We start from the raw sequence: 12,601 nt of genomic DNA, 5'->3' as shown, positions 1-12,601 counted from the left end.
AAAATTAGCCGGGCGTGGTGGCACATGCCTGTAATCGCAGCTACTCGGGAGGCTGAGACAGGAGAATCGCTTGAACCTAGGAGGTGGAGGCTGTGGTGAACTGAGATCGCGCCATTGCACTCCAGCCTGGGCAATAAGAGTGAAACTCCATCTCAAAAAAAAAAAAATATATATATATATAGAATTTGTGACCGGAGGGGCCTTAGGACCTGTCACCTAATTTCACAGAAGAAGAAACTGAGCCCTAAAGAAGGGAAATGACTAACTCAGGATTGCCAGTGACCAGTGGCAGAGCTGGGAGTAGAATTCAGGTCTCCTGAGGTTCACCCTCCGGTGCTTTCTCTCCTGTCTTGCTTATTTTCATGTGAACCCTTTTTGATCACACTTCCCTTTCCTGCTTTCCAGCCTTTTGATCACACTTCTACTTTCCTGCTTTTCAGCCTGAGTATGTCTACTTATGAGAAATACAGAGATCATTTAAGGAGCTGAGAATTTCCTTCTCACTTAGAGCTCCATAGAAGTCAGGACTCCCATTCACATGGAACAGATGAGAAAGAAAAAAGTTCAGAAGGGAGTTTCACTTGCCAGAGTCCACACAGCTACGGTTAGACCTCAGACCTCCTGAACAACCAAGCCGATGTCCTTCCCAACACATTAAAACAGGTGGGCTAAATAGGTGGCCTGGTACATTACATGAATGTACTGTTCTTTTGTTTAAAGAAGTGTGTGGGAAACAGAATTTGGTCTAATTAAAGGCCGTTGGGGGTGGATTAATGAAGTACAAAAAGGGCCTCATTAAAAGAAGCTGTCTTCTAAAAGGCAAGCCAATGGCAGTTATCTTTCCAAAGTGAACATTAGAAAGTGGTTCCTGTGTAATTTTCCAATCATTTAACTTAAAGATTCCTATCTATTGATACATGAGGGTCTGCATGTACTTTTGTGATGGCTTGAACCAAGGTTGACTTGAGCAAAAAGCTGCTCAAGGCCAGTGATCATTGTTTAAATTATGAAAGTAATATAAGCACATTACAGATCTTTGGAAAGTTCAGGAGGGAAAAAAATGTACCCATGGTTCTACCATCCAGCATGGTATTGTTATTATTTTGTACATTCCCTTTCTGTCTTCTCATCAGAAGTGTCTTTACGCAGTTTTAAATGGTCTTCCTCTAATTTTCATAGCATACTATGACCTTGTATTACACTTTCCCCTGTGACATTAGATCATAAACATTTTTCTCGTAGATTTTGTCTTCATGAGCATCACATCTAATGGCTGCAAAAAGGTCCACCTCATGGGGGTCCCATAAGGTGCTCGTGATTCTCTAGAGGATTCATGAACATCTTTCCAGGGGGGGGTCACATTGTCAAAGACAGCAATGGCATTTGTTTTAATTTCAAAAAATAAAAAGTAGCTCAGTTTTTAATTTGAAACATTGCCCCTTTAAAGCTGAGCAGCATGAGAGCCTCTGGATGTGTGTCACGTGGATACACACAGGGTTAGTGGAGATGATAAGCCAGTGCCTCAGTCCATACCCCGCTCAGCACAACACACTGGGGACTAACACCTAAGAAGTCTATTGGACTGTTATAAATTCCACACGGACTCATGCTATAACATGGATGAACCTTAAAAACATTATGCTGGCCAGGTGCGGTGGCTCACGCCTGTAATCCCAGCACTTTGGGAGGTCGAGATGGGTGGATCACCTGAGGTCAGGAGTTTGAGACCAGCCTGGCCAACATGGTGAAACCCCATCTCTACTAAAAATACAAAAATTAGCCGGGCATAGTGGTGGGTGCCTGTAATCCCAGCTACTCAGGAGTCTGAGGCAGGAGAATTGCTTGAACTCGGGAGGGTGGAGGTTGCAGTGAGCTGAGATTGCACCACTGCACTCCAGCCTGGATGGCAGAGTGAGACGTGTCTCAAAAAAAAAAAAAAAAAAAAAAAAGAAAGAAATTTAGGGGACACATTCAAACTATAGCAAGGAACAATTCATTTACTGGGAATAATGATTATCCATACCCCAATTCCATTTCCAAATGTACTTGTAGAAAATTGTTTGCAAATGACAGCCTGAAATCTCTCATCTCTTTGTTTTGAAACAAAACATAAAATGTCCAAAAATAAAACAGTTGAGATCCGTTTGTGATTCATAAGGGTGATGATTGGGTTTTCATGCTAATATGTGAGATGTGACTCCTTCAAACTTCCTTGTTATGACATCAGCACATTACTCATCTGATGTGAAAAGAAATTTTTAATTTAAAAAAGTTGATATTTTAAGCTAAAATGCAAAAATTCTAAACACTAGGCAATCACAATAGCTTTTGTCCATTTGACTGCCATAGCATGTAGTTACTTTTATTTTATTTTAGAGACAGAGTCTTACTTTGTTGCCCAGGCTGTAGTGCAGTGGTTTGATCTTGGCTCACTGCAACCTCTGCCTCCTGAGTTCAAGTGATTCTTATGCCTCAGCCTCGAGAGAAGCTGGGGTTACAGGCGTGTGCTACCACGCCCAGCTAATTTTTTTTTTTTTTTTTTTTTTTTAGACGGAGTCTCGCTCTGTCGCCCAGGCTGGAGTGCAGTGGCGCGATCTCGGCTCACTGCAAGCTCCACCTCCCGGGTTCACGCCATTCTCCTGCCTCAGCCTCCGGAATAGCTGGGACTACAGGCGCCCGCCACCACTCCCGGCTAATTTTTATGTTTTTTTTTTTTTTTTAGTGGAGGTGGGGTTTCACCATGTTGGCCGGGATGGTCTCCATCTCCTGACCTCGTGATCCACCCACCTCGGCCTCCCAAAGAGCTGGGATTACAGGGGTGAGCCACAGCGCCCGGCCATTTTTGTATTTTTAGTAGAAACGAGATTTCACCATGTTAGCCAGGCTGGTCTTGAACTCCTGACCTCAGGTGATCCACCCACCTTAGCCTCCCAAAGTGTTGGGATTACAGGCATGAGCCACCTCGCCCAGCTGCATGTAGTTACTTTTAATCTATACTGAATATAGGCTTGGTCCCTAAACTAACCATAATAAACAATTCCATTTCGAAATGTAAATCACAAATTATATTTTGTCTTACATAATTGATTTAAAGTATGTGTCATGTTAAACAGAAAGTTGAATTTTGTCTTAATAACATGAATATTATTGGATTATATTAAATTAATATTTTTTGTAGAATTGTAATACTTTTTTAAACATAAACAATTTTACAAAAAATTGTAAAACATATATCAATGAGCTAATATTTATAAGTGTAATATTCTAAATATTTTTGAAGTGCCTGTAACAATGCCTAGAACAGTGCCTGGTACATAATAAGCATTATATGTGTCTGTTAAATAAAAAGAAAACGAAATTATAAAATATTTTAAAATACTACAAGTTTTATAAGTATATTTATATATATGAATTGATAAAGAACATTTGCATAGTAAAAAATATATATACATTGGAAAATGCAGATTTATGTAATCACTCCCCCATTGTTGGCTATTCAGGTTACTGCCAGTGTCTTTTTTAAAGGATTACTATGGTGAACATTTTTCAAGCGTAAAGTTTCAGTAGTTTATGTTATTTTCTTAAGGTATCTTCACAGAATTGGATAACCGGTGCAAAAGTTGTGATGACATGTATTACTTTCTATATGTGTCATAGTTGCTAATATTATCTTAGTGGCACTTAGCATAAGGAAAATATAATGCCCCAACTCTGCGTCAGGCTCTGTTGCAAGAGGCTTTACCAAACTTATTGCTATGGTTGGAATATTTATTTCCTCCAAAACTTTGTTGGAATTTAATCCACAACATGGCAATATTGAGGAGGGGGTCTTTAAGAGGTGACTGGGTTATGAGGTCTCTGCTCTCATGAAGGGATTAGTTGATCGGTGGGTTAATGGATTAACGGGCTATCCTGGGAGTAGGACTGGTGGCTTTATTAGAAGAGGAAGAGAGACCTGAACTAGCATGCTCAGCCCCCTCGCCATGTGATGCCCTATGCCACCTTGGGGCTCTGCAGAGTCCTCACCAGCAAGAAGGCCCTCACCAGATGTGGCCCCTTGACCTTGGACTTCTCAGCCTCCATAACTATAAGAAATATTTTTTTTTCTTTATAAATTACCCAGATTCAGGTATTCTGTTATAACCAACAGAAAATGGGCTGGGCACGGTAGCTCACGCCTATAATTCCAGCCCTTTGGGAGGTCAAGGTGAGTGGATCACTTGTGGCCAGGAGTTTGAGACCAGCCTGGCAAACAACCTCCTTACTAAAAATACAAAAATTAGCTGGGCATGGTGGCACATGCCTGTAATCCCAGATACTCAGGTGACTGAGCCACGAGAATTGCTTGAACCCAGAAGGGGGAAGTTGCAGTGAGCTGAGATGGCATTACTGCACTCTAGCCTGGCTGACAGAGCGAGACAAAAAAAAAAAAAGGGCAATAGAAAATGGACGAAGACACTCATCTTTATGGATCTTCATGATAATTCTGTTGGGTAGGAGGTAGTATTATCATTCTTATTTTCTAGATGAATCAACTGAGACTCAAAGAGTTGAATCACAATGACCTGATGTCTAGGAGGGAACACTGAGTTTCAACTGCAAGTACACCAAGTAGGAAAGACTGTCTTGTGGTAAATTTCTTTCTCTTGGCTAAAAGTAGGGGGTGATATCGGGTCAATTTGTTATTGTCACCTACAAGAGAGATGGAAAAGGCTTCTACATTATCATGAACTTGAGAATCTTACAGTTAAAAATTGGAAAGATGAAAAATGGGGTGGAGAGTGGGGCAAGAGTGATTGGTAGGATTACTTGGTGTATCAGTTTCCTTGGGCATCCATCACAAAGTACCACAAACTGGGACGCTTAAACAATAGATATTTATTCTCTTATAGTTTTGAAGGCTGGAAGTCCAAAATCAAGGTGTCAGCAGGCACCTGCTCTCTCTGAAGGCTCTAGTTTCAGGTGGTTACTGTCAGTCTCTGGCATGGCTTGGCTTGTGCATGCATCACTCTAATCTCTGTCTTCACATGGTCTTCTCCCCACTGGGAAGACAGAGATAGTGATTTGGACACAGACACCAAGTCTCTGTGTAAAGACACTATTTCCAAATAAGATTCTGGGTGAACATGAATTGTGCAGGGTTACTATTTTTAACCCAGTACTGTACACTTGGGTAGGAGAAGCCTGATACTTCTGCCCCTTCCCACTTTCTACTTTGTGCATGCAGTGGCTAGCAGAGGTATCTCTGCTCTCAGAAGTGAGGGGAAATCCTTATGTCCCTAGGCAATGTCTTAGTAGGCTGCTGACACCCAGAAGAAACAGTCTCTTCAGACTCAGAAGGCTACATATAGGCCCATCCCCATCATCTTCCTCTACAGTTGCTGGAAGAAGGCTGCAATAAATAGCTCCCATAGTTGGGGCAACAGAGAATCTCAAAGGAAAAGATGTGCACAGAGCCAAGAATTACTAACACATCGTAAAAGAGAAGAACAAAATGAAACAAATGACTAGTACCTGAGAAACAGATCATAGAACTCACAGAAGGGGATTTTAAGAGAAGTATAATGAACCTTTCATCACAGGGATAAAAGACAATTGAATCCATAAGACAAGGAGGAAATTATGAAAAAGTATCAAATAGAGATCTTGGAAGTGAAAAGTATTCAGAAGAGAGGGAAATGGTAAAATGAATACAAATGAAGAGCTGTTTATTGAGCTGGAAACAATAGCTGAGGGATTCTCCCAGAATGTAGTATAACAGGACAGAGAAAAATTATGAAAGAAATGTTTAGAAACATGGAGGGTAGAACCAGAAGCTCCCAAATCTATCAATTCACATTCCAGAAGAAAATAAAAGCAGAAAATATGAGAGAGAGGAAAAATTAAAAACATATTAAAAGAAAAATTTCCAGAGTTGAATAAAAGCACAAATCTTCAGGTTGAAAACTGAGTAGGATGAATAGAAATGACTACACTTAGATACACACAGTGAAATTTTAGAACAAGTGTAAGGAGAAATTCTAAAAGCATCCAAAGATTTTTAAAATTTTTTCTGCAAAGACTAATATCAGAATTCTCAGTAAAAATGCATTGCATACAAGAAGGCAATATAAAATACATCTTCAACATTTTGAGAGAACATGGTTACAAACCTAGAATTCTATTTTTTTTTTTTTTTTTTTTTGAGACGGAGTCTCTCTCTGTCGCCCAGGCTGGAGTGCAGTGGTGTGATCTCGGCTCACTGAAAGCTCCACCTCCTGGGTTCACACCATTCTTCTGCCTCAGCCTCCCAAGTAGCTGGGACTCCAGGCGCCCACCACCACGCCCACCTAATTTTTTGTATTTTTAGTAGAGACGGGGTTTCACCGTGTTAGCCAGGATGGTCTTGATCTCCTGACCTCGTGATCCACCCACCTCGACCTCCCAAAGTGCTGGGATTACGGGCGTGAGCCACTGTGCCCAGCCACAAATCTAGAATTCTATACCCATCTAAACTATTATTTAAGTGTAAATGCAAAAAAAAAATACATTTATAAATATTCAAGGATCTGGAAAATTTACCATCCACAATGAATTAAGAGAGAATGAACTTAACCAGAAAACAAAAACAAAACAAAACAAACAAGAAGAAGAGAAATACACGAAACAGTATCTTATTGAAGAAATCAGTAAAATTTATTGTAAAACTCATATAAGTTAGGATAACCACTAGAAGTAGTAACAGGTGCAAGTTTTAAATTTTGAGAAGGACAAAATAAGATGAAGAAAACTCACCAATTTTGCAAAAGACAAAAGGAAATTAAAAAAATCCAGGACAAGTAGAAAAGACAAATAAAATGAGAGGAATAGTTCAGATGTCTCAATATCACATTAAATATGATTGGGTTAAGCCCATGGATAAAAGGAGAATTTTAGATTGGATGTTTGAAAACTTAAACATTATAAGAGACACATCTAAAACAAAATCATCTGAGAAGTTTGAAAATAAAGTGATGGAAAAGGATATTTCAATGAAAAAATGTGTGATTATATTTAAATCAGATAAAATGGAATTCAAGGAAGGTTTAGAAAGTGGATCTACCCAGTAGTAGTCAGCACCCCTGGTAGCTAGATAATAGTTTCTAAACATCGTTTCACACATACACATGAAATCAATGTTCACTTGAAAAAAGGCTGATTCCAGGTCTGGGACAAGAAATATACAAGAGGAGCCTGGACCAACATGTCATATCTGAGGCAAGAAAGCTGAAGACTACAGAGAGTGTCAAAACTACTTAGGAAACAACTTGAAGAGGCTCCTACTGGCTAAAGATGCAGCAATCATGCATTAATAAAAATGATAATTGCAATGATTAAAACACTTCAAATATACTCAAGTTTATGAATATGGAAATGAAATAATTTTTTTAAAAAACCCTTATTGGCCACTTTCTATTAAAAAAAAAACAGGGAACTGAGGAACATGTTAAACACTATCACAGAAAGATAATCAGCAAAATCCAGTCTGCAGGAAATTCTACAGAACAAATGACCCAAAATATATATTCCAAGCAAAAAAGAAAGTGTGTATTTGTGTGTGTGGTCAGGGAGGATTACAGACTAAGAGTTACCTAAAAAACATCACTCGATTGCATGTATGAATCTTAACTGAATCTTTTTTTTTTTAACATAAACTCAAGATTTGATTGTCTTCATAATAAAACAAAAGATGATACTCAGAACTATATCACTTGGCCCCCCTTTTCTTCTTATCTCCTCCCAGTTCAAAATGCTCGCATATCTTAATAGCCAGCATTCTCTTAGATATGCAGTTGGGCTCAACGCGCTCAAGCCTTAGCACTGTCTTCTTTGTAGTTTTAGCCTTTTTTTGGAAAATCCGCTTAGTCTGTCCATCATAGCCACTATGCTTCCCATCATAAGGCTGTTTTCCCTGGGCATATAGACAATTCTTGCCCTTCTTGTACTGTGTCACTTTGTGGGGTTGGTGCTTGCCACACTTCTTACAGAAAATCCACTGAGTTTTAGGAACACTCACAATGTTTGCAGGAGCATTATTGGCACAGAAAGCTGAATGTTGATATAAACAAATACATTGGGCCCTCAAGGTGGCTCATGCCTGTAATCCCAACACTATGGGAGGCCGAGGATTGCTTGAGCCCAGGAGTTCAAGACTAGTCTGGGCAAAATAGTGAGACCCAGTCTCTAAAAAAAAAATAATAATAGTAATAAGCAAAAAGAAAGTTTACATAATTCGCTACATGCACAAATTAAAGCATCTGATTATATCAATAAATACTAAAAAAAATTGACAAAATTTAACCCCTGTTAAGATTTTTAAAAGACTTGCAGTAGCTTGCTATAGAAGGGAAATTTCCTATCTTAATTAAGGGGCCTACCAAAAACCTATGGCTGTCACCATACTTTGTGGTGAATTTAGAGGTAATCCTATTACCTCAGGAATGGGACAAGGATGCTTGCTTTCATGCTGCTAGACAACACCAAACTGGATGATCTAGTCAATGCAATAAAATAAGAAAAATAAATAAGAAACCTATAAATGATATTTTCATCTACAAATAACAGAAAAACCAATTTGAAATAGTTTATACAATAAATACATTTTATTATCTCACATAATAATTTCTGGCTCTCTTCTTTCTTCTCTGGCCCTGTGAAGATGTGCCTTGCTTCCCTTTTACCTTCCACCATGATTTGAGTTTGGTTTACCCGAACAGTAACGTGCACTTGCTGTAAGTGGTAGAGCCCACCTACATTAGGCTGATGATTTATTGTTGAAGTCAAAAAAATTGGTGAGGGAAGATGGCGGATAGGAGATAGGGCTGACGTGCAGCTCCCATTTGTATGGACAGAACAGTGTATGGAAACTCCTGTCATGGACTTTTGCTCCAGGAACCACCGCAGGAGTGTACTAGGAAAACTGAAAGAAATCACAGATCCTTTGAAAGCAGCAGCAGGCTGCTGCAAATTCCATGAGACAGGCCAAAAGCTCTAGTGCTCTCTCAAAAGTGCCACCTCCTGGCTGGAGGCCAACCAGCTCAGGACGTTACAGCAATTCATGACAGAACAACCCTGCTGAAGTGGTGGACTTCAGTACTCCACTGACAGCAAAGACAGGTCATCAAGACAGGAAGTCAACAAAAGACCAATGGACTTAAATTATACCTCAGAACAAGTGAACTTAACAGATATTTACGGAACATTCTACCCAACAACTGCACATGGAAAATTCTCCAAGATAGACAATATCATAAGCCACAAAACAAGTCTCAATAAAATTAAGAAGATTGAAATTATATCAAGTACCCTCTCAGAACACAGTAGAATAAAGTTGGAAAGTAACTCCAAAAGGAACCCTCAAAACTATACAAATACACGGAAATTAAATAATCTGCTCCTGAATGATCTTTGGGTCAATAATGAAATCAAGATGGAAATTAAACAATTCTTTGAACTGAAAGATAATAGTGACACAACTTATCAAAACCTCTGGGACACAGCAAAAGTGGTGCTAAGAGGAAAGTTCATAGCATTAAATGCTTATATCAAAAAGTCTAAAAGAGCACAAATAGACAATCTAAGGTCAGACCTCAAGGAACTAGAGAAACAATAACAAACCAAACCCAAACCCAGCAGAATAAAATAAATAACAAAGATCAGAGCAGAACTAAATGAAATTGAAACAAAAAATACAAAAGATAGAAGAAATAAAAAGCTGGTTCTTTGAAAAGATAAAAAAATTGATAGACCATTGGTGAGATTAACCAAGAAAAGGAGAGAAGATCCAAATAAGCTCAGTTAGAAACAAAACAAGAGATATTACAACCAATACCACAGAAATAAAAAAAGATCATTCAAGGCTACTATGAACACCTTTATGCACACAAACTGGAAAATTTAGAGAAGATGGATAAATTTCTGTAAATATACAACCCTCCTGGATTAAATAGAAATAGGAAGAAGTAGAAACTGAACAGAACAATAACAAGTAGAGAGATTGAAACAGTAATTTAAAAATTTCCAACAGTAACAAAAAAAGGCCAGGTCCTGATGGATTCACAGATGAATTCTATCAGGCATTCAAGGAAGAATTGGTACCAATCTTACTGAAACTATTCCAAAAGACAGAGAAACAGGGACTCCTCCCTAAATCATTCTATGAAACCAGTATCACCTTAATACCAAAACTGGGAAAGGACATAACAAAAAAAGAAAACCACAGGCCAATATCCCTAATGAACATAGATGCAAACATCCTAAAAAAAAATACTAGCTAACCAAATCCAATGGCATATCAAAAAGATAACACACCGTGATTGAGTGGGTTTCATACTAGGGATGCAGGGATGATTTAACATATGCAAGTTAATAAATGTGATGCATCACATAAACAGAATTAAAAGCAAAAGCCCTATGATCATCTCAAGAGATGCAGAAAAAGCAGTTGACAAAATCCAGCACCTTTATGATTAAAACCCTCAGCAAAATTGGCATAGAAGGAACATACCTCAAAGTAATAAAAGCTGTCTATGACAAACCCACAGCCAACATTATACTGAATGGGGAAAAGTTGAAAGCATTCCCCCTGAGAACTGGAATGAGACAAGGATGCCCACTTTCACCACTTCTGTTCAACAGAGTACTAGAAGTCCTAGCCAGAGCAATCAGACAAGAGAAAGAAATAAAGGGCATCCAAACCAGTAAAGGGGAAGTCAAACTATCACTGTTTGCCAATGATATGATTGTATACCTAGAAAACCCTAAAGATTAATCCAAAAAGCTCCTAGAGCTGATAAATGAATTCAGCAAAATTTTAGGATACAAAATAAATGTACACAAATCAGTAACACTGTTATACACCAATATACAACAATGACCAAGCTGAGAAGCAAATCAATAACTCAACCCCTTTTACAACAACTGCAAAATAAAATAAAATATTTAGCAATATACCTAACCAAGGAGGTGAAAGATCTCTACAAGGAAAACTATAAAACGCTGCTGAAAAATCATAGATGACACAAACAAATGAAAACACATCCCATGCTCATGGATGGGTAGAATCAATATTGTGAAAATGACTATACTGCCAAAAACAATCTACAAATTCGATGCAATTCCCATCAAAATACCATCAATATTTTTCACAGAACTAGAAAAAACAATCCTAAAATTATATGGAAGCAAAAAAGAGACCTCATAGCTAAAGCAAGACTAAGCAAAAAGAACAAATCTGGAGGCATCACATTACCAGACTTCAAACTACACTACAAGACTATAGCCACCAAAACAGCATGGTACTGGTGTGAAAATAGGCACATAGGCCAATGGAACAGAATAGAGAACCCAGAAATAAAGCCAAATACTTACAGCCAACTGACCTTTGACAAAGCAAACAAAAACATAAAGTGGGAAGAAGACATCCTATTCAACAATGGTGCTGGGATAATTGGTTAGCCACATGCAGAAGAATGAAGTTGGATCCTCATCTCTCACGTTATACAAAAATCAACTCAAGATGGATAAAAGACTTAAATCTAAGACCTGAAACCATAAAAATTCTAGAAGATAACATCAGAAAAACTCTTCTAGACATTGGCTTAGGCAAAGAGTTCATGACCCAGAACCCAAAACCAAATGCAACAAAAACAAAGATAAATAGATGGGACCTAATAAAACTGAAAAGTTTCTGCACAGCAAAAGAAATAATCAGTAGAGTAAAACAGAGAACCCACAGAGTGGGGGAAAATATTTGCAAACTATGCATCCAACAAAGGACTTATATCCAGGATCTACAAGGACCTCAAACAAATCAGCAAGAAAAAAACAAATAATCCCATCGAAAAGTGGGCAAAAGATGTGAATAGACAATTCCCCAAAGAATATATTCAAATGGCCAAGAAACATGAAAAAAATGTTCAACATCACTAATTATCAATGGTCAAATTTGACCTGGAAATTTGACCAACCAAGTCAAAGGGTAAATGCATTGTAAATTACAGAAATATTAAATTCCCTTCTATTATGGTTATACCATCTTTCAGGCCCACTGGCAATGTATGAGATTACCTTATTCCCCATATATTATTCCCCATTATTATTAATATTCCCCATTATTATTCCCCATATATTCTGTTAGCTCTTCTAAAGCTGTTCAACTTTTGGATTTTTTTCTGATCTAATAAATAAAAATCACAATGTAACACCACCTTACTCTTGCAAGAATGGCCATATTTTAAAAAATCAAAAAATAACAGATGTTGGCATGGATGTGGTGAAAAGGGAACACTTTTACACTGCTGGTTTAAAGGGTAGTTCAACCACTTTGGAAAACAGTATGGAGATTCCTTAAAGAACTAAAAGTAGAACCATCCTTCGATCCAGCAATCCCACTCCTGGGTATCTGCCCAGAGGAAAGCAAGTCATTATATGAGAAAGACACTTGCACATGCATGTTTACAGCAGCACAATTCACAGCTGCAAAAATATGGAACCAGCCTAAATGCCCATCAACCAATGAGTGAATAAAGAAAACGTGGTATATATATATACCATAGAATACTACTCAGCCATAGAAAGGAAT

At 38.2% G+C, this 12,601-nt stretch overlaps 1 non-coding gene and 1 pseudogene across 1 annotated transcript, besides 2 other annotated features; one reads left to right on the top strand and one right to left on the bottom strand.

Moving 5' to 3' along the window:
* Nucleotides 382-501: an enhancer, noted in NCBI's record as "active region_24556". NCBI's record gives its function as "activates an Ori minimal core promoter by ATAC-STARR-seq in GM12878 lymphoblastoid cells {active_cell/tissue: GM12878}" and the evidence as "EXISTENCE:reporter gene assay evidence [ECO:0000049][PMID:35858748]".
* On the top strand, nt 2,139-2,245 carry LOC124901534 (small nucleolar RNA U13). Its single transcript, XR_007059965.1, has one exon. It is a non-coding gene; the product is annotated as a small nucleolar RNA U13 (small nucleolar RNA).
* Nucleotides 5,144-5,283: an enhancer, noted in NCBI's record as "active region_24555". NCBI's record gives its function as "activates an Ori minimal core promoter by ATAC-STARR-seq in GM12878 lymphoblastoid cells {active_cell/tissue: GM12878}" and the evidence as "EXISTENCE:reporter gene assay evidence [ECO:0000049][PMID:35858748]".
* Nucleotides 7,666-8,067, bottom strand: RPL36AP5 (ribosomal protein L36a pseudogene 5; annotated as a pseudogene).

Source organism: Homo sapiens, chromosome 6 (assembly GCF_000001405.40).
Source record: "Homo sapiens chromosome 6, GRCh38.p14 Primary Assembly".
In the NCBI taxonomy this organism is placed as follows: Eukaryota; Metazoa; Chordata; class Mammalia; order Primates; family Hominidae; genus Homo; species Homo sapiens.
This window is presented reverse-complemented; position numbering and strand designations above follow the sequence as displayed.